Source organism: Homo sapiens, chromosome 1 (assembly GCF_000001405.40).
Source record: "Homo sapiens chromosome 1, GRCh38.p14 Primary Assembly".
Taxonomy (NCBI): domain Eukaryota; kingdom Metazoa; phylum Chordata; class Mammalia; order Primates; family Hominidae; genus Homo; species Homo sapiens.
In genome coordinates this window covers 210,400,964-210,424,200 of record NC_000001.11, presented here as the reverse complement: position 1 = coordinate 210,424,200, position 23,237 = coordinate 210,400,964, and the positions used below count along the sequence as shown (strand labels likewise).

Below are 23,237 nucleotides of genomic sequence, written 5' to 3'. Positions count from 1 at the left end.
AGAGGATACAAAGAAATGGAAAAACAACCCATGCTCATGGATTGAAAGAATATTGTTAAAATGACAATACTACTCAAAGCAATTGATAGATTTAATACAATTCCTATCAAAATACCAGTAACATTCTTCACAGAAATAGAAGAAAAAAACCTAAAAATTGTGTGGAACCACAAAAGATCCTGACCAGCCAAAGCAATTCTGAGCAAAAAGTACAAAGCTGGAGTCAGAACACTGCCAGACCTCAAAATATACTACAAAACTGTAGTAACCAAAACAGCATGGTACATGCATAGAAACAGGCATGTAGATCAATATAAAAGAATAGAGAATCCAGAAATTAATCCACATATCTACAGCCAACTGATTTTTGACAAAGATGCCAAAAACACTCATTAAGGAAAGGACAATCTGTTCAACAAATGGTACTGAGAAAACTGGATACCCATATGCAGAAGAATGGAACCAGACCCCCACCTCTCACCCTCAAAATGGATCAAAGACCTATGTGTATACCTGAAGCAATAAAAATACTAGAAGAAAGCATTAGGAGAATCCGTCAGGACATTGGTCAGGGAAAGGTTTTATAAATAAGACTTCTAAAGCACAGGCAACAAAAGCAAAAATAAACAAATGGGATATATCAAACTAAAAAGCTTCTGCAAAGAAAAGGAAACAACAGAGTGAAAAGACAACTTACAGAATAGGAGAAAATATTTGCAAACTACTTATCCAACAGGTGATTAATATCCAGAATATACAAGGAACTCAGACATCTCAACAGCAAACTAAACAATCTGATTTAAAAATGGGCTAATGATCTGAACAGATATTTTCTCAAAAGAAATGGTCAATAAATATGTGAAAAGCTCAATATCACTAATCATGAGGGAAATGCAAATCAGAGCCACAATGGGATATCATCTCACCCCAGAGTTAGGATGACTATTATGAAAGTGGCCAAAAAAATAACAAATGGTGATGAGGATGAAGAGAAAAGTAAATTCTTACACATTGTTGGTGGGAATGCAAACTAGTATAGCCGCTATGGGGAACAGTATGGAAGTCCTTCAAAAAACTACAAATAGAACTACCATATGATCCAGCAATCCCAGTACTGTGAATTTATCCAACGAAAAGGAGATCATTATATTCAAGAGACATCTATACCCCATGTTTACTGTAGCACTATTCACAACAGCCAAGATATGTAATCAACCTAGGTGTCCAACAACAGATAAATGGATAAAGAAAATGTGGTATTTAAAGCTGGGCATGGTGGCTCCTGCCTATAATCCCAGCACTTTGGGAGGCTGAGGTGGGCAGATCACTTTAGGTCAGGAGTTCGAGACCAGCCTGGCCAACGTGGTGAAACCCCGTCTCTACTAAAAATATAAAAATTAACCAGGTGTGGTGGTGGGCACCTGTAATCCCAGCTACTCAGGAGGCTGAGGTAAGAGAATACTTGAAACCAAGAGGCAGAGGTTGCAGTAAGCCGAGGTCATGCCACTGCACTCCAGCCTGGGCGATGGAGCGAGACTCCGTCTCAAAAAAAAAGAAAAAAAAGAAAATGTGGTATTTTTACACCATGGAATACCATGCCACCATAAAAAAGAATGAAATTTTGTTGTTTGAGGCAACAAAGATGGAACTGGGGTACATTCTGTTAAGTGAAATAAGCTAGAAACAGAAAGTTAACACCACATGTTCTCACTCATAGGTGGAAGCTAATAAATGTTCATACAGAAGTGAAAAAACAGAAGATAAAATACTAGAAGCTGGAAAGGGAGGGATAGGGAGAGATTTGTTAAAAGATACAAAATTACAATAGGTAGAATAAGTTCAAGTGTTCTATAGTACTGTAGGATGACTAGAGTTAATAATATATTACATAGTTTCAAATAGCTAGAAGGAAAATACTGAATGTTCCCAACACAAAGAAATGATAACTATTTGTGATGATGGATATGCTAATTACCCTGATCTGATCACCATACATTGTATGTATCAAAACATCACTACGCACCCCATGAGTATGTACAATTATTATTTGTCAATTTAAAAAATTATTTTGAATGGTTTATATTTTATCAGTCTATGATGCAAATGTACACAATAACTAAAGATTTTTTTAACTTTAAAAGCTTTAGAAGAAAGTGGAGAATATTTTTATCATCTTGGAGTAGGAGATAATTATTTTTGAAAGACCCAAAAAAGTAAAAATGATAAATAAAAATGACTAAATGCAACTACATTAAAATAAACCCTTTTATGCTGTCAAAAAAACAACATAAAAACATTAGAAGTCAAACCACAAACCAAAAGATGTCAATATTTGCAACTACACATATGACTTTTTTTAAATAATATAAATTTTATGAATCCACAAGAAAAAGACAGAAATCCCATTAGAAAAATGGGCAAAAGTTAACAGTTATTTCATTAGAAATTATATACCAGGCCAGGCACAGTGGCTCATAGCTGTAATCCCAGCAATTTGGGAGGCCGAGGTGGGTGGATCACTTGAGGTCAGGAGTTCAAGACCAGCCTGGCCAACATGGTGAAACCCCGTCTCTACTAAAAATACAAAAATTAGCTGGGCACGGTGGTGCATGCCTGTAATCCCAGCTACTTGGGAGGCTGAGGCATAGAATTGCTTCAACTCAGGAGGTGGAGGTTGCAGTGAGTTGAGATCGCCCCACTGTACTTCAGCCTGGGTGACAGAGTGGGACTGTCTCAAAAATAATTAAGAAATGATATACCAAAGTCCTTTAAGCCTATGAAAAGATGCTCAAACTTATTAGTAGCCAAGGAAAGGCAAATTAAAACTATGAGATAAAATTCACACCCACCAGATTTTCAAAATTAAAAGATACGTGAATTTCTGGGTTCTCTATTTTTTTATATTGATCTATGTGCCTGTTTTTATGCCAGTACCATGATGTTTTGGTTACTACAGCTTTGTAGTATATTTTGAGGTCTGGCAGTGTTCTGACTCCAGCTTTGTTCTTTTTGCTCAGATTGCTTTGGCTATTCAGGATCTTTTGTGGTTCCACACAAATTTTAGGGGTTTTTTTCTATTTCTGTGCAGAATGTCACTGGTACTTTGATAGGGATTGTATTAAATCTATAAATTGCTTTGAGTAGTATCAAGTGTTGGTGAGAATTTCAAGCAATGGAAACACACTGCCGAGAAGAGCATAAATTGGTTTCGCCAAATTAAAAAATAATTTTTCTTATAAATCTGAACAAATATACTGCCCACAATACTTATTTCAGAATACATATATATTTGAACAATGCTTGACAAACTCTGGATAGTGACTCACCCAATTCAGAGATTCAAATATTTTAAAATATTCCAATATTTTAAAATAGAATAATATGGAACCGAAAATATCAGTCAGTATTCATTGCAGGTGGTTCAAGGTAAAGTATGGCTTTGTGAGAGTTTACACACACACAGAGACATGCATACACTCATGCACACACCTGTAATGCAAAATGTATTTCTTTGTTTTTTTTTTTGTTTTTTTAAATTTTATTATTATTATACTTTAAGTTTTAGGGTACATGTGCACAATGTGCAGGTTAGCTACATATGTATACATGTGCCATGCTGGTGGGCTGAACCCATCAACTCGTTATTTAGCATTAGGGCAAAATGTATTTCTTACTGTGGGTAATGTGCCAAAGAGTTTGAAAGTTATGGCCCTACAGGGAAACCCTTACACATGAGCTCCAAGAGACACAGAAATGGCATTATATGGAATAGCAAAACCCTGTAAAAAACTCAAGTGTCCTCGTATATGTAGAACGGACAAATAACTTCTTGTATATGGATACACTGGAATGCCATACAGCAGTGAAAATAAGTGCTACCTAGTTACATGTCTTAACATGAATGCTTCTCAAAAACATAATGTTAAACAAGAAAACCAAGTCACAGAACATACATAACAAGCATGAATCTATTCATACGACGAGGTGTTAACATATGCAATTTTAAGGATTTAACTGTGGTAAAAGTACAAAGAAAAAGAAGAAAAGGATAAATACAATATTCAGGTAATCTTTTCAGAGAGGGTAATAGAGGCTGATGGGATTACGAGTACAAACTAAGGGCTTCTACGATTCTGGTTAGTTCTTAAGCTGAATGGTGGACACACAAAAGGTGTGTTGGTGACATCAGAGTCACATAATTTACTACCCCTAGTGCCGATCTTAAGTATCATTGTTATATGGAATAACTTCCTTATTGTTTAAGCCCCATTTTGAGTTGTGTCTTCCATTACTTTTAGTTTAAAAACCCTCAAGCTGAAACAGTCCCTTAGTTTGTATCCCATACAACTGGGATCTGACTTAGTATAAGCTATCATTTAATCATATTCTGTTTGTCTAATTGTATCATTAAAACTTTACAATATTAGCAACTCCAAACTATAAAAAGTTTTGTTTGGAAGAAAGAGACTATCATTAAACTAGCTTAGCATTTTTTCAATCTTAAAGGTTTCGTCCTTGGAAACATTCTGATTAAGTACGTGTGATACCAAGAACAATCAAGATTTGTTTAAGAAGATCTATGAAATGTTAAACAGATAAAGAAGGAGTCAGGCTTGTACTCTTGCCCTCAGCAGGGAACAGCTTGATCTGCCTGGAGGATCACACAGTTATTGGAGCTACAGGCTGGAGGTCAGAGCACAGGCAGAAGTCAGCCACTGCGGGAGTCCTCAAAAGGAGAGAGAACAAGGAAGTGAAGAGATTTTATTCAGAAAAGGGCGTGGGCTCTGCTGTTTTGGCCAGAGGAATAAAAGAACAGTGGTTTCTCCACAGACAAATCCTATACTGGAGACTAGCCCTGCTGAGGAAGTAAGACTTCCATGCCACCTCCCTGGCAGACACACAGGAAAGGGTAGATAAGGAAAGGGGATCTACAGAGGGAAATACACACACGCCATTTATTCTATCCCAAGACAGTGTACAAGGTACACCCTCAATGTGCAGCGCTGCCTAATATCCTCCTATTATTCCACAAAGCTAAGTCTCCCTATTTTACAGATGAGGGTGCTGGAACCGAGAGGTTAAGTAAACTGCCAAGGTTACACACCAGTCATTGGTGAAGCTGAAACTCAAACCTATGGCTGTGTGATCCTGAAACTCATTCTTTTTTTGAGACAGAGTCATGCTTTGTCACCCAGGCTGGAGTGTGGTGGCATGATCTTGGCTTACTGCAACCTCCGCCTCCCAGATTCAAGTGATTCTCCTGCCTCAGCCTCTCGAGTAGCTGGGATTACAGGTGTCTCTCACCACACCCAGCTAATTTTTGTATTTTTAGTAGAGACATGATTTCACCTTCTTGGCCAGGCTGGTCTCAAACTCCTGACCTCAAGTGATCTGCCCGCTTCAGCCTCCCAAAGTGCTTGGATTACAGGCATGAGCCACCACACCCAGCCTCATATTCTTTAATACCTTATGCACAAAGAACAAGGAAGACTGTGGAACAACTCAATCTTGGAGCATTCTCTCTTAGAATGAACTCAAAGCTGCCCCCAGCAACTCCTGCCTTCTACTGCTAAACACAATATTGGCTACGCTGTGAAGATGTGGACCCAGCTAAGGTCAGTAGGATCCCATTACAGAGAAGAATGCCACCATTCTTGGTCCCCAGACTACAAGCACAGCCCTCACTTCCGTCAGCTACATCAACCACTTCTCACATGCACAATCTTGGCCACAAGAGGAGTAGGTTAAAAAATAATAATAAAGAGGGTTTGCTATAGGCACCTGCACCCCTGCTCACCCCCCACTCCAGCTCCATTCTGATGCTAACTGTTGGACTATTGGGGCTCATCCCACTGTTGGTGATTCCCACAATTACCTAAGGTCCAACAAGAGACAGTCTCCAGGAGGGGGATGCTGCTGTAGATGGCATGCATGTACATCAGGTGAGCCATCAGCTCGGCCAGCCACCACCAGCAAAGAAGGCGGCCCAGCCCCAGGGCCAGGACACACAGGCTGGCCTTCAGGGAGTCATGCTCCTGCTGCTGCATCTAAAGTGGAAACAAAAGAGGTCATTCGATGGTGCCTTGATTCCTAAAACAGTCCCTTAGATAAGATTTTTCATAAACTTCCCACAAATATTATTGCTATGCCAGCTGACAGAGGGTTGGTTTGGTTTGTCTTGGGAACACTCAATGTTCTTGGTTGGAAGAATCGTATTTCAGCTTGAACATTTGTCTCAAAATAAGAATGGGGGTTGGGGGTCAACAAGCTAGCCTAGTGCCAAGAGCCAAAGACACGTTCTGCACTGATCCCTCCACTCCAGCATCAGCCCTGGAAAAACCCAAGCGGGGAGGGCAGCACTCAGTGTATTTTCCCCACTGGGAATTTGGAGTTTCGGGCTACAGGTGCCACCCTGCCTGAATTCCTCCATCACCTACTCATGTCTGAGGCTGGCAAAAGCAGGTCCCAGTCAACAAGAGACACAGGACTGGTAGAAGAGAAAGAGAAAAAGATGGGCTGAGAGCAAGGGAAAATGATGTGTGGGCATGTCATTTCACCCTAAGTTGTTTTTTGAAACATGGCAGACAGTATGTGGAACAAGTCTCTTGCTTAGTAGGCAGCAGAGCATAACAGTTAAGAATACAGACTTTAGAAAATGTAAAATAAGGTGGGGCATGGTGGCTCACACCTAGAATCCCAGGACTTTGGGAGGCCCAGGTGGGCAGATCACCTGAGGTCAGGAGTTCGAGACCAGCCTGGCCAATATGGTGAAACCCCATCTCTACTAAAACTACAAAAACTAGCTGGGCATGGGGTGGCACATGCCTGTAATCCCAGCTACTCAGGAGGCTGAGGCAGGAGAATTGCTTGAACCTGGGAGGCGGAGGTTGCAGTGAGCCAAGATCACACCACTGTACTCTAGCCTGGGTGACAGAGCAAGACTGTCTAAAAAACAAAACAAAACAAAAGTAAAATAAGTCACTTCGGGTAGCTTTGCCATCAAAACAATATTGAGTTTCACTCCATAAACTCGGGCTGTTTTTCCATTTATCAGGTCTTCTTTAAATTTCTTTCAGCAATGTGTGTAGTGCTCAGTGTACAAGTCTTGTACTTCTTTGATTAAAGTTAGTCCTAAATATTTTGTTATTTTTGATGTTGTTGTAAAAGGAATTTTCTTCTTTAAAAAATGGACTTTAGAGTCAGAGGATCAGGATCAAATTCTACCACAAACTACACAGCTGTGTGATCCTGAGCAAGTTACTTAACCTTTCCGAGTCTGGGTTTCCTCCTAAAGTAAAAAACATTGTTGTGGTGATTAAATATGATGAAGTATGTGAAGTACTTAGGCATACAAGAAGCACTGGATACTTGGTAGTTAATATCTATCATTAACCGCCTCCATGTGTGTCTTCCCATCCTTCCCATGTGGCATCCCAGACAACCAGCTACAGGGCAGCATTAGGAGACAGCTCAGAGCCAAACACCAAAGGCAAGAGAGGGATGTTTTGATTATTCATAGATACAGATAGAAGCTACTGAGGGCATACTCAATACAGTGGACAACACAGATGAAAATTTTTAAAGCCCAGTTCTGTGGTCTCACCTCACTGCCTGTTGTTTAGAGATGCACAGTAACTTAAAACACATAGATTCTAGAATTCATAAACATGCTGGAAAATTTGAAGTGAATTCAATTTCGTTCAGCCTTATACCACTAAACAAATATAAATACAGAAAAACTAGAGAGAACAGTAAGTTTTCTGGATCTCACAATGACAAGATTTTATGAGACTGAAAGCTCCCTTGAAATGCAGAGGACAGACTAATGCTAAATGTCAAGCTGCATCTGCACACATTAGCCGGTAGAGGAAATGAGCTTGATTTAGCATCTGACTATCAGGGCTCATGACATAAAGGCCCATTCCGTGAGGTACCTCCTTAGCTTCTCTCTCCTCCATCATCAGGGTGCTGTGGGACCCTCTGCAGCCAGGAGAGTGGCAGGCACTGCCCCCAGCGGGAAAGAGAGAGCTACACGGCAGGGGATTTATTTTTATTCCATTTTCTAACATACATTCTTCCAGTCTCTCTAACTGTCCTCCCGCAACAAGAAGCCAGGCTAAGAAATTTTGGTCGGCTCATTGGCATTACAATCATCTGCACAAACAGCTTTCTCCCTTTTGCCATCTGCTTGGTTAACTATGCCCAGAAAAGCTTGTTGCTTTAACTTTTAAAATGTAAATTAGGCCGAGGACGGTGGCTCACATCTATAATCCCAGTACCTTGGGAGGTGGAGGCAGGTAGATTACCTGAGGTCAGGAGTTCAAGACCAGCCTGGCCGACATGGTGAAACCCTGTCTCTATTAAAAATACAAAAATTAGCTGAATGTGGTGGCAGACACCTGTAATCCCAGCTACCCAGGAGGCTGAGGCAGGAGAATCATTTTAACCCGGGAGGCAGAAATTGCAATGAGCTGAGACTGTACCACTGCGCTCCACCCTGGGTGACAGACAGAGACTCTGTCTCAAAAAAAAAGGAAAAAATTGGTACAACAGGAATTTCCCTTTTGCCTTTTGTTTCCCTCAGGTCACTTCAGGAAGATATTTTATGCAGCCATACCAATCTGCACTGTTAAGAAACAACAGTAATTGCTTTGGAGAATTCATCTGGTTAGTGTTCACAGGAAGCAGAATTTGAGTTCTCCAAGAAGCAAGATTGGGTATCCTTGGATATTTGCAGACTTGTATTGATCAGACCTAACTGCAATTACAGATGCACTAGTGACCCCAGGCAGACCCCTTTCTGGGCATAAACTGAGGATGGTTTTCATTTGAATCCTTACCTCAAGCATGCATGCTCTGAGAGACCCTACGAAGTCTATGGCAGCAGATCTGTTACAAGCCAGTCAATCACTAAATCCTCAGTGCAGAAACACCTACCTGCCAGATCATTCACGTTTGTTTTAATAAACGAGAAGTTAAAAGGAAATAACCCAAATGTCCAACACTAGGGTGTTGGTTAAATGCATGTGTGTACCTCAATATTGTATGGTCATGAAAACTACTTTTATTCAATGTGCATAAAATAATCCAAAGCTGGAAAGATATACACCAAATGTCAAAAGTGGTCATCTTTGGATGGTGAGAGTTTAGTTATTTTTGACAATTAAAAAGATTTTTTTTTTAAGACAGAGTTTCACTCTGTCACCCAGGCTGGAGTGCAGTGGCACAATCTCAGCTCACCCCAACCTCTGCCTCCCTGGGTTCAAGCTATTTCTGTGCCTTAGCCTCCCAAGTAGCTGGAATTACAGGCATGTACCACCACACCTGGCTATTTTTTGTATTTGTAGTAGAGACGGGGTTTCTCCACATTGGCCAGGCTAGTCTCAAACTCCTGACCTCCAGTGATCCGCCCACCTCGGCCTCCCAAAGCGCTAGGATTACAGGTGTGAGCCATCACACCCAGCCAAATTGGTTCTTTTTTAAATCAGAGAAAAAGTAATGTGATCTTACAATGTTGTGAATATTTGGGCCCTCTCTGTTAGAGAGGCAAATGTACTCAAGACCCCTCTGTTTCTTCATCCTGCTTCTCCAAATGCCTGGCATCAGAACTTCTGCCAGGAAGCCCAGCATCCTCTATGAGTGAGTATTCTTCTCCATGTTTTATGCTAGACTAATTTTTATTTCTCCTTTCCTTCCCCCTTCACTCTTAGATTTTTTTTGTAGCTATGTACTGAGTTCTTCTTGGTTCATTTTCAACCCTTTTCCAGCTCTCCAAAGCAAGTTCATTTTGACCTAATAACCACTAGCAAAAGAAGACATGATTACAAACACACTGCTATGGTCTGCATGTTTGTGCCCCACTAAAATTCATATGTTGAAATCCTAACCCCCAAAGAGACGGTACTAGGAGGTGGGGCCTTTGAGAAGTGATTAGGTCATGAGAGCAGACCCTTCATGATTAGGATTAGTGCTGTCATCAAGGAAACCTCAGAGAGTTAGCTAGTTCCTTCTACCGTGTGAAGACAGTGAGAAGGTGCCAATCTATGAACAAGGAAGCGGGCCCTCACCAGACACTGAATCTGCCAACTCACTGATCATGGAATTCCCAGACTCCAGAACTGTGAGCAATACATTTATGTGGCTTATAAGCCAACCAGTTTATAGTATTTTGTTACAGCAGCTCAAATGGACTACGGCAGAAAATCAGTACCAAGAGTGGGAGTGCTGCTGTAACAAAATACCCAAAAATATGCAAGTAGTGTGGAAGGGGTAATGGATAGAAGCTGGAAGAGTTTGGAGGTGCATGCTTTAAGCAGTATACATTGCTGTAAATGGATCTTTAAGGGAAATTTTGGCAAGGGCTCAGAAGGAAAGGAGAAGAGCTGCAGAGAAAGCCTCAATATTCTTAAAGAATAGCTGAGCAGTAGTGAACAGAATGTTGGTGGAAATGTGCATGGTAAAGGCCAATCTGATGATTTCTTAGACAAGAGAAACATGGTATTGAAAACTGAATGAAAAGCAATCCTGTTATGAACCAGCAAAGAACTTGGCTGAATTGTGTTCGTATCCTAGTGTTTTGTGGAAGGCAGAATTTGTGAGTAATGAAATTGGATATTTAGCTAAAGCCATTTCTAAGCAAAGTGTTGAAGGTGCAACTTGGCTCCTCTTGACTGTTTATAGTAAAACAGCAGAGGAGAAAAGTGATTTAAAGACAAAATTGTTAATCAAAAGGGAAGCAGAACTTAAAGATTTGGAAAACTCTCAGCCTTTCCATACTATCAAGAATGAGAAAGCCTGTTCAGGAGAGAACATCAAGAATGTGGCCAACCAACCACCTGATAAGGTTAGTCAGCTGTTTAAACAGAAGCCAGGACCTCCTGTCCAAGACAATGGAAGAGTGATCACAAAGAGAATTCAGTCATGAAAACTATTTGTGTTCAATGTGCATAAAATAATGAAAGGCTGGAAAGATATACACCAAATGTCAACAGTGGTAATCTTTGGATGGTGAGATTTTAGTTATGTTTTACAATTAAAATTGGTTCTTTTCAGTCAGAGAAAAAGTAATGTAACATTATAATACTGTGAATATTTTGACCCTCTCTGCTGCCACCATCATCACAGGCCAGAGTGCAAAGGCCTGGGGGACAAAGCAATTGCAGATGCAAAGGAGGGGCTGTCACTGCCCAGTCCTGCCTCACATTGTGGGCTCTGCTCCCCACTCCCCGTCACCACACTCCTTGGCTGCCCCAAGGGTGGCTCCTGTGGGCCCCAGTGCAGTGTAGTTGGCACTGCAACCAGAAAAGCTGTGAGGGGGTGTGGCTGCCTCCACCTAGATTTCTAACAATGCCTAGAGAGCCATGGGGCCCAGACAAAGAACTGCACAGAGGCAGGGCCCAGCAGAGCCATGAGGGTGGCACTGTCTCATGACCCCAGACCAGTAGAGCCACCAGCTCAAGATTCTGGCCTGGGTGATCTGCAGGAGGCATAACCCCCTCCCCACCACCATGTGTCCAGAGGCACCCCAGTGTGTCTGAGAGGTGAAACCTCCACCCTAGTGGGCCTGGAGGGCAGAGTAATGAGCCAAACATGATGATTCCTGAGCCTTAAGGTTTTGGACTTCCTCAGGAGCTTTTACTCCTTTCTTCTTTCCAATTTCTACCTTTTGGAATTGGAGTGTCCATCCTATGCCCGTCTCACCATTGGATTTGGGTGTACAGAGCTTGATTTCACAGGCTCACAGCTGAAGGGGAATTTGCATAAGGATGAATCATACCTTGAGTATCACACACATCTGACTTAGATGATATTTAAATGAGACTTTGGATTTCAGACACTTGAGTTGGTGCTGGAACAAGTTAATACTATTGGGGCTATTAGGATGGAATGAGTGTATTTTGCATGTAAGGAGGCCATTAATTTTCAGGGGGCAGGGGCAAAATATTATTAATTGAATGTTTACATCCCTCTAAAAATTCCTATGTTGAAATCCTAACCCCCAAGGTAATGGTACTAGGAGATGGTGCCTTTAGGAAGTAATTAGGTCATGAGGGCATTCTTCATGGTTGGGAATAGCACCCTTATAAAAGAGACGCCAAAGAGTTAGACCCCTTCCACCACAAAAGCACACAGTGACAGGTACCATCCTGTGAACCAGGAAGCAGGCCCTTACCAGACATCAAATCTGGCAGTGTCTTGATCTTGGACTTCCCAGCCTCTAGAACTGTGAGAAATAAATTTCTGATGCTCAGAAGCCATCCAGTTTATGATATTTTGTTATAGCCGTCTGAATGGACTAAGATACATACTATCCATTAGTCTGTAGAGGCTAGAGGAGTTCACACCAAGGTTAAGACATGTAGAGGCATGTAGAGGCATGTAAGACATGTAGAGGCAGCAAAATCACTCTAGACCAATGGACAGGTCTTTCCTGGCACCCAGACTCTTTTCTTTATGACACAGGGTGTCACTCTATTGCCCAGGCTAGAATGCAATGATGTGACCCTACCTCATGGTAGCCTTGGCTCAAGCAATCCTCCTGCCTCAGCCTCCCCTGCAGCTGGGACTACAGGCATGTACCACCACGCCTGGCTGATTTTTTTTTATTTTTTGTAGAGCTGAGTTTCACCGTGTTGCCCAGGCTGGTCTCGAACTCCTGGTCTCAAGTGATCCTCCTACCTCAGCCTCCCAAAGCACTGGGATTACAGGTGTAAATCACTGTGCCCAACCTGCTCAAACTCTTGGAGAGAAGCAAGTCTTCTAGCTGAACGTGATAATGGCCTCAAAAGCAGTGTTGACAGCAGATAATCTTCACACAGACAAATGTCTACAGTTTCTAAATAAGCCAACTGTGCATATGGCCTACAGGCTCTTCAGCATAACCTACCCAAAGCTCAGGTTCCCTGAAGGCCAGGACAGTACCTCGGGCCTCCAAGCAGCATTTGGTATGGAGCCCCATCCCAGGGAGTGGAGAGATAGCAGCTGGACTGGAAGGGAGCCAGGAGGAGGCCAGAACCAACAGCCCCCAAGATAATCAAGAAAATATCGCTGACACCCAATCACCTCTCAGCTCCAGGCAATCACGTTTCAAGGTGAATTCAAAGGCCTCCTTTCCCTCCTCAAACATGTGCATTCTAAAATGACACAAATATCTGTAATTAAGAAAAATCATGAGGTACATTTTGTCATGCATTGGCTTCTTAATAATGACTTACCTACTTTTCACAAGCTAAAACTTCCCTACCAGGTATAATAAGGCATAATTACATGTCACTACAGGACCAAAAGGACTAGACTTTTCTCTGCAACACTCCTTTTCTGGTGCTGACTGCCTCCCTGCTCCAAGCAACAGAAATGTTTATTAATTGCACAAATAAGCCAGGCATGGTGGCTCATGCGTGTAATCCCAGCACTTAGGGAGGCCAAGGCGGGCGGATCACTTGAGGTCAGGAGTTCAAGACTAGCCTGGCCAACAGGGTCAAACCCTGTCTCTACTAAAAATACAAAATTAGCTGGGCGTGGTGGCAGGTGCCTGTAATCCCAGCTACTCGGGAGGCTGAGGCAGGAGAATCGCTTGAACCTGGGAGGTGGAGGTTGCAGTGAGCCAAGATCGTGCCACTGCACTCTAGCCTGGGTGAAGAGTGAGACTCTATCTTAAAAAAAAAAAAAAAAAAAAAATTTACAAATAAACAACACAGCAAAAGAAAAACAATCCAACTTTCATTCTATTTGCTTTTACTTAAAAAAAAAAAAACAAAAGGTTTTTCATCTTTCTTTAGGGTCATATCATTATTACAGTCCATTTACATCTGCAATCTAGTTGACTGTCTTTTGTTTAAAAAATCCGGCCAGGCATGGTGGCTCACGCCTGCAATCCCAGCACTTTGGGAGGCCAAGGCGGGTGGATCACAAGGTCAGGAGATCGAGACCATTCTGGCTAACACGATGAAACCTCGTCTCTACTAAAAAAAATACAAAAAAATTAGCTGGGCGTGGTGGCTGGCACCTGTAGGCCCAGCTACTCGGGAGGCTGAGGCAGGAGAATGACGTGAACCCGGGAGGTGGAGGTTGCAGTGAGCCAAGATCGCAGCACTGCACTCCATCCTGGGCGACAGAGCCAGACTCTGTCTCAAAAAAAAAAAAATCCAAAATTTGTCCCTTGTCAACCCAGCAGGAAGAACAGACAGACCATATATAGCTCATCTAATGTGCAGGGCGGCTCTCTTGCCTGCATGCAAAGTATTTCATTTAAGACATTTCAAACCTAGGGGACTGCCAAACCTTTAGACCACTGGAAACTGCCACCATGGAAATTGTGAAGTTCAGGCATCACTAAAAAATACACATTAACTCATCTGCAAAGTGCATTTCAAAATGCATTATACTTTAAAACCTAATTTCATGCAAATTGCATAAAAAGGAATAGCTATGCCTTTCTCTTTCTCCCAAATATATTCTGATGATTAAAGATGACAGTTCTCAAAGATGAAAGGTTCTTTTTCTTCATACACGAATAATACATATGTTTGTGAGCACCAAACAAAAGCCCTCCCCAGAGGCAGATATTCAACTGGGCCACCTGGGCCACTAACTTATTAGCTTCTCTCTGCTTGGGTCTAGGAGGCCTTGTGGCAGTTGTTGTATTCCTTTATACTGGTCACAGACCATACCCCTACTCCTAACAAATCATTCCCTAATCAGACCCACATTACTCCCACCCGCTAGCCATCCAGACCAAGGCCAGCAACATCCAGTGAGCTCTCCCAGAACAGCAAGTGGGGCCTGCAGGTGTTGCTGCCACCAAGGCTGGTACTTGGTTCAGCCTGCTTGAGCCTCCAGACCTTCATGTCCACTAGGCCACACTCCATCCCCCTCTAACTCCTCTCACACACCAAGTCAGCGCAACAAGGCTCATGTCTTGATTCCCTTCACTCTATCTGCATTGTAATAGCCTCTCTTTGCCTCTGTTTCCCTGTCTGTAAAGTGGTCATGACAGTATCTCTCTCACAGGTTGTGAGGATTAAACAAGCTAGAATGGCCAGGCACAATGGTGTGTGCCTGTAATCCCAGCACTTTGGGAGGCCGAAGCAAGAGAATCACTTGAGGCCAGGAGTTTGAGACCAGCCTGGGCAACATAGCAAGACCTCATCTCTAGAAAAGTATTTTTAAAAAATTAGCCAGGTGTGGTGATGCATACCTATAGTCCTAGCTACTCAGGAGGCTGAGGTGGGAGGATCACTTGAGCTCGGGAGGCCAAAGCTACAGTGAGCTATGATTGCACCATTGCACTCCAACCTGGGTGTCAGAGTGAGACCATCTCAAACATTTTAAGTTAGAACGTATAAAGCCTGGCTCAGACTAAATGATCACCTAGTATATTTTATTACAATTAGCATGATTCCAGGTGCTCTCTAGAACCAGAGCCCATGCCAAGTACTAAACAAAGCTTCTGGGACATTGACTGCCTTGCACAGCTCTTGCCAGTCCCAGCAACTCTTGGACTGCCCCCATCCCTTTCCTGCAGCAGCTGCCTGGGTCTCTCTTCAAATAGATGGAACCAGCACACTGGCCTCTTCTGAGCCCAAGCATGGCCATGGCCCAGAGTCCCCTGCTGCTGTGCCTGCCTACCAGACTGGATACCCAGGGTCTCACTTCTGACCTAAACTACCCTAGAATTACACTTGCTTTCTGGCCAATCATCACAATAATAAAAGTAAGAGGCCGAGCATGGTGGCTCACACCTGTAACCCCAGCACTTTAGGAGGCCGAGGCGGGCGGATCACCTGAGGTCGGGAGTTCAAGACCAGCCTGGCCAACATGGTAAAACCCCATCTCTACTAAAAATACAAAAATCAGCTGGGTGCGTTGGTGCACGCCTATAATTCCAGCTACTTGGGAGGCTGAGGCACAAGAATCACTTGATACCAGGAGGTGGAGGTTGCGATGAGCTAAAGTTGTGCCACTGCACTCCAGCCTGGGCAACTGAGCCAGACTCTGTCTCAAATAATAATAAGAGTAAGAATTAACACTTTATAGTATTAACCTGTCAAACCACATTACCTATACACAATCATTTAATCCTCACAGCAATCCTGAGGGAGGCACTATTATTCTTCCCATTTCACTGATAAGAAGACTGAGGCATAAGTAAGGTAAGTAACTCAGCAAGCACTCTCAAGCCGAAGCACAGCAGGGATTCAAACCCTGGAGGGTGGGCTCCAGGACCTTTGCTCTCAACCTCCATGCCAAATTCCCTATTTGACCACTGGCTTCTCTAAGGTGGGAGAGCACAGTGCCCAGCAAGGAAGAGTCCCTGGCCCACCACCCTAAGGCTGCTCTTCTCCCCAGTGCCCACACCACACCAGTCAACCTCTTCAAGACGTAGTGGCCCCAGGCTTCAGGCTAAGCAAGTAAACACCATGTCCTTCCCTTCCCTAAGTCCCCCAGGATCCCTGTCTCACCGCTGACTTGGTATCCGAGTTCCACAGAAACGTGAGAGAAAAACAAATCAGGCCCATGTTCCTAAAACTCTAAATGCCACCAGAAATAGCCTTCAAGTTAAGGCACAGAGGCAAATTTTTACCTGTTCGTGACTAATTATGCAAATTTCACATGCTTTACATTGCAGAAGACAACGCTTCTATACCTCCCTCATTTTGTGTATGTAAATTGGGTGGAAGACACATTCTCCAGGTGTATGCCTAAAACTAACATTGTCATTTGATCTTTTGGAGTTTGCAGATACTGGGTGAAGATTTCCCGCTGGGGTTGGTTTCCACAATGGGGCACTGCTGCCCCCTGGTGGTGCAGCGTCATTCTCCTGCTCTACGTTATTTTTATGCATTGACCTGCCAGTCTAAGAACCATGCATTTCAATATTTCCAATCCTTATAGCTGAAGGCATTTCATGCATGCATTCATTCAAGCATTCATTCAGAGCAAATCTTACTTACTAGTTCTTCCAACTAGCTTTCTTTCTCCACCTCCCAGCCTTTTCCTTTTTGGCTTCTCTGAAAGAACCCTTTCACTGCAAGATAAGCTTTTTGGTTTAACCCCCTGCCCCTTTAAAGCCCCCTTCCCCACAGAAGGGAAGTTCCCCACAGCCACCTTCAGCAAGTGCAGAAACCTCCTGGCTTTTTAAATTTGCCCTATATCTTACTGAACATTTATCCTTTTCTAGAATGACTATTCTATGAATACTCCCCCAAACATAGAGGTTTTAATTTGCCCTTTCAAGTTCCCTGCTGTCAGCAATTGCTATTGTTTTAGAAGGGGTTAAAAAAGAAGAGAGAGAGAGGGAAGGAAAAGACATGGATAAAACCCAGAGTGTCTATACCTGGCCCCTACAGGAAGCAACCTGCCCCTTCACTTCCCCAGAATGAGACTCAAGAGAATGAGAACCCTTGGCTAAGGATTTAGGTGGAAGATAATCTTAAAGCGTGCCTCTGTGTGACACAGGACCCTGCTAGAGGCCTCTAATATTCTTACTAGACCCTAAAAGGCACAATTTGAAAAGGGAGGCCAGGCTCAAGCCTGTAATCCTAGCACTTTGGGAGGCTGAGGGCAGATTGCCTGACCTCAGGAGTTAGAGACAAGCCTGGGAAACATAGCAAAACCCGGTCTCTACTAAAAATACAAAAAATTAGCTGGACTTGCTGGTGCATGCCTGTAATCCAGCTACTCAGGAGGCTCAGACACGGGAATCACTTGAACCCAGGAGGTGGAGGTTGCAGTAAGCTGAGATTACACCACTGCACTCCAGCCTGGGTGACAGAGTAAGACTCTGTCTCAAAAAAAAAAAGAAGAAAAAGGAGATGAGAAATAACAGAAACAATTATTTTGCATAATAACAAAGTACAGAGCATACAGGCAAAGCTTATATACAGGAGGAAGTTAGGAAAATAATCTGTTTCCTTCTAATGGATTTAGTTTATGTTTCTCTGAAAATTACCAGCCATCCTCAGGAGAGGGGTGTCTGTGTGTGGATGTTTGGTCCAAAAGTTATTGGCTGGCAAACTGAGAATAATTCAAAAGTTCACAAAGGTAAGGAGATTGTAAAAGAGAGGAACCCACCCTATGCTGTGCCCACCTTACCTTTACTCCCACCCTCCTCCTGGAGGGCCTGTTAAACCACCTTCCTGGGCTTTATCCCTAGAGGCTGTGATTCAGGAGGTTGGAGAGGACCTGAGAATTTGTATTTCTAACAAGCTCTCTGGCGATACTGATGCTGCTGGTCCAGGAACCACACTTTGCAAATCATTGAGTTAGAAGATCAGCTGCCATCATTAAACCATCTCTTTTACACAATAATTTTAAACACAATTTCAAATGCAGATTTTAAATTCCTTCATGACAAAAGAACGATCCCAAACCGAGGTATGAGAAACCATAGACTAAACATATCTGTCTAGAATATCAATTTCACTTACAGATTTCTAGAGATATAAAAAGTTACATACTTTCACTGGAAATTTTAGAACATTATGTTATTGTTATAATGCAAAAATATATTCTTGAATACAATGCATAATTCAGTGGAACTTTGAGGACAAAATAAGATTTCTAAGAACCCTCCTTTTTCAGGGAGCAACTTTCATGTTGCTGCCCAGAAATGTGCAACACTGCTGCTTGCCCTGCCCTTCCAGGTGTGTGCGTATGCGTGGGTATGTGTTCTGCGTGTGCATGCATGTCTGTGTATGCACGTACATGTTATTTTCTCCTCTATGAGGATTGTTTTGTTGGTGAGGGATAGAATATCCCTTGAGAACACTGTTTTAGGCATTTTCAATTACTAATTCCTTAGGTGAATTAACTTAGCAATTATGTTCCATGAAACTAGAGGTAGGTTGAGGAGGCAGAAAAAAAAGAAAGTTCTAAACAAGGGGGAAAAGTGAAGTAGGGGGGAACAACAGAGGTAGCTTAACATGGCATTTCAGACAAGGATGCCGTCCGAGGAAGGCAGGCGGGGGCCTGGGCACAAAGGGGGATCCAGACATGAACACACACCACTGCCTTCGAACTTACTTCAACTCCACTCTGTTTTCACACCTAGGTCACCCTGAACAGCTCCCAGGCTATGGCAGGACTATTTCTTAAGCAGCTTGTGAATATAAAAGGAAACATACTATTTGCCAAGCAACAGCTTAGACAGTTTCCTTTTCTATTCCTTCAAGTAATAGCATCATAATCAAATTTTTTTCTTTCCTTGGGACTTTGCCACAGTGGATACCAACTCCCAAACTCCTTGTTGTGCCCTACTCATTAATCCTGGTTGCCAGAGTTCACTGAAAATCAAGGTGGGACCCCCTAGAGCTGACATATCTGATGGGTCAAACTTTATTTTAAAGGCTCATTTCTCATATGTATTTCATCTATTACAAAAAACCTCATGAGAACTAATAGTATGTGTTGTAAATCTGTGGGCACCTCTGAACAAAACGACTCAAGAGTCAGAGAAGACCAGAGCAACAGCGACAAAGGCTTAAGCTATAGAATCCCAATCCCATCCCCAGCGGGCTCTACCTGTTTGATGAACTCCGAGAAGCTGAGGATGGGCCCATTGTGTAAGACTGGATAATAAAAGACATAGGCCAGCATCCAGGGAAAGGAGTAGGAGGTCGATGCAGCAGGCAGCTGCTGCCAGCAGAGCTCCAGGCTGAAGCTGGTGTAGTACAGGCAGCGAACGGTCAGCGTGAACTGCAGCAGGTAGTACTCGTTTTCTGTCTTGTACCACCTTCTCTACAAAATCAAAAGGAGAGAACAACCTTTGAGTGGCCAGCAGGGACATCGTCCAGTCCCACTGCAGGTGCTGGCCAGCAGGGCCACCGTCATCTGAGAATCCCAGGGGGCTCTGGGAAGGCAATTTCTTCTTCAGGCAGAGCAGCTGTGCCATAAAAGGCAGTCGAGAACCAATGAACACCAGGTAAATCTCATTGGTAATCAAAGCAAGCAGTTAATGAGCAGTAGGAAAAAGGACATCTCTAATGTTAACCTAGCATTAGGTCTGACACAACATAACGAAGGTTTTCCCAGTTAGGCATGTATCAGATACATCCAGGGCATAAGGTGCAGATTAGCTACATCCAGTGGATACTTTGACAGCTTCTTCAACAATTCAGATAACAAAGAGGGGCTTAAAATGTCCCATGGGATTTCTGTCTTCAATGTATTTTTCGTTTTCCTCTTTTGTTATCAGTTTGGCTCTACATTTAGTTGAGTAGCATTTGTCTAATAAGCTTTACAGACAAATATTTAAAAAAAAAAAAAAAAAGTCCCTGCCCTCAATATGTTAAATTCTCATACAGGACGTAGATGTGTAAAAATGCAATTACAATAGAGCATGAAACAAGAAATAACCTGTGCAAAAATATGCATGGAACAAAAAATGAGAAGGAAATACAATAAAATGTTAATATCGGGGAGTAAAATTATGAAGTATTTTCTAATTTCTATATTTTTCTACATTTTCCATGTTTTCCAAAAATACATTTAGTGAGAAAAACTATTTATGGAAATACATACGAGAAATAGAACTTGGGTCAAAGGAGAAAGTAATTAACTTGATCCATCAGGGTCTCTTAAAGCTGTACACAGAAAAACCAACCACTGAACAGAGTTTCTACTTCTTGTACAAGACTTTAGCAGCCACCAAGGGAAAAGAGGATAATCATATCAGGAGAACCACATGTGCAAAAGCATGGAAACCCAGCTAGTTTCTAATCACATGATCTCCTTCCTCAGTGTTTTTCAAATCACTGTAAAATTTGCAGAACAAATGAACATTTATTCACCTCCAACATCTATAACTGATGCTAATTGTCCCCAAATAAATGATAAATGGAATTAGATTCTGTTTGTACACTTGCCAGGTCCCCAAAAGGTTAGGTATGAGCTTGTTTTTATTTTTACTGTAAATCTGTTTTTAAGCACACTTGCCTAAATGGTTGCCTAATCATTCTGGGAAGTATCTTCATTAAAACGGAGTGATTATCTGATATACTCTCATAAGTCCAGATTTTGACATACGTGCTTAAAATGCTAGCCCCACATCATTAATGAGAGTGAGAAAAATGAAGGTAGACTAAAAACAGCAAAAAATACTTGAACTTTCAAAATGCTACAATTTTCACAAAATCACTTAACATAGATTATCCCGTTTGACTCTCAGAACAATCCCATGAGGAAGGAAGAGGATTTATTACTTCTGTTTTCCAAATGATGAGATTGAGGCTCAGAGGTTAAATGACTGCTCCAGCTTCAGAGTAGGAAGAGATGGGGAATAGAATAGACTAGGAACCAGGTCATCCATCTCACATTTCCCATCATGTTCCTTCCCATCACTGTGTTGATGCAGGGCACATGAATGCTAAGTGTTGTCACCTGGATCAATGAATGAGTGACTGAATGAATGAATAAAAAGATACCACAGGAGTTCCAGTCCCACAGTGATTGAAGAAAGAATACCCAACACTGCCCAAGATTTTGAATGTGCCTATGGAGATCCTAGGGGGTTAGAGGAAGGGATAGGTGTGTGCAGTGTCCCCAAAGCTCTAGGTGACACCTGGTCACTTACATGCTACTGTTTTATTGTTTACCAGTTTGTAAGAGCCAGCAGCTCTCAGAGCAGTATCGGACACTAACTGATCTGTTTTTCTGTGGCCCTCTTTTATTTCTTACCTTTAGAGACTGAGGTCTAAGCTGTACTTTGAAAGAGAATCCGGTGGACAGGGATGATGAGAAGGTTGGTTCCAAGAGACAGCATAAACATACGTAAATGTGTAAAGGGAAAGGTAAGCAGATTGGCCTGACTCAAAAAAACAGCTCCTGCCAGTTGGGCAGTGTTTGGGAACCGGGCTAGGAAGGAGAAGGTCGATGAAGGTGGGAAACATCAATGGTCCTGCCCTGGGCATATGACCCCTGATGTTTTCCAAGCTGCGCAACTCTCAGGCTGGCTGTTCTCAGAGTCAACTGGCCCCAAAAGTGAAGGGCTCTGAAGCTGAGTGCCCAGAACCAGACCCTGGAGCTGGGGCCTTGGACTTGTGTTCTTGCCATGCATTTCTCCTTAAAAGAAAGCTCCCACTTCTGGATGGTTGAGAGTTCCACACAGACTCTGCCTTTACTCCCCTGCAGCCACAGACCTTGGCAGCTCCAACTTGAACATGTAAAGGGTGTATTCAACAGACAAGTGAGAGAAGGAACCTCACACAGCCTGAGTGGGCCTGAGATAGGCTGAGGGGCCTAAGCTTCAATTGCATAAGCAGGGCTAGGTCACTCCAGTTACCAAAGACAGAAACAGATAGTCCAGAGCCGTCCAGGGGATGCTAGCCACTGCCCAGGAGATGATCAGAGAACACACAACAGAAATCAGAAAATGTAGTACAAGAAGAATTTGCTGATAGGTGCAATCGCCTCAGCAAGGCACAGGAAACTCAACTCAGAAGGCAGTCTGTCTGTCATCCACCAATTCTCTGGGTCAAGTCTGATGTGCACTCATAAAGTAAAAATGCACTGTTATTGTGACTGAGAAAAAAAATAAAGCTAAAAGGTAAGTGCCTATAAAATAAGATTTTACTAATGCAAACAAAAGCCCTAAAGAAGTGAGGTTTGAGCCCAGTGTCCTCCTCTATTAGCACCAACAATGGATAGGTGGTTGAGTCTGTCAAAATGCCTCTGGGTTTACAGAAATGAAAGCTTGGTCTGTGCCCTTCGGGGCTAAACACTTTGTTTTCACTACCTAAATTGAAAGAGCTTCCACTGGGTCACATGAGTAGATAATAAATATGTTCCTGGCCGGGCACAATGGCTTATACCTGTAATCCCAGCACTTTGGGGAGGCCAAGGTGGGCAGATCACATGAAGCCAGGAGTTTGAGGCCAGCCCGGCCAACATGGTGAAACCCCATCTCTACTAAAAATACAAAAATTAACTGGGTATGGTGGCAGGTACCTATATCCCACCCACTCGGTTGACTGAGGCACGAGAATCGCTTGAACCCAGGAGGCGGAGGTTGCAGTGAACCAAGATCGCACCACTGCACTTCAGCCCTGGGTGACAGAGCAAGACTCCGTCTCTACAAATGAATAAATAAATCTGTTCCATCAACTAGGAAGAAGAAAAAGACCTGACTTACCACCACAGGGCCATTGTGGCCATCAGATGAGTTGAGTGATGTGTGCATTCCCTATAAATTGTAGGGCACTCTCCAGATGTTTTTTAGTAAATCATCTGTTTGTTTCTTC

At 42.7% G+C, this 23,237-nt stretch overlaps 1 protein-coding gene across 18 annotated transcripts in view; it reads right to left on the bottom strand.

Moving 5' to 3' along the window:
- Nucleotides 1-23,237, bottom strand: part of HHAT (hedgehog acyltransferase) — a 348,963-nt gene that overhangs the window by 252,090 nt on the left and 73,636 nt on the right. For 13 of the 18 annotated variants that reach the window (XM_047424804.1, NM_001122834.4, NM_018194.6 and 10 more), the window contains 2 exons: nt 19,522-19,737; nt 5,876-6,047 (listed from right to left, as the gene is read on the bottom strand). In XM_047424804.1, coding sequence (XP_047280760.1) covers nt 5,876-6,047; nt 19,522-19,737 — 388 coding nt within the window. The remainder of the gene's footprint in view (nt 1-5,875; nt 6,048-19,521; nt 19,738-23,237) is intronic. The other 5 variants (NM_001170564.3, XM_047424811.1, XM_047424835.1 and 2 more) reach the window with 1 other exon arrangement.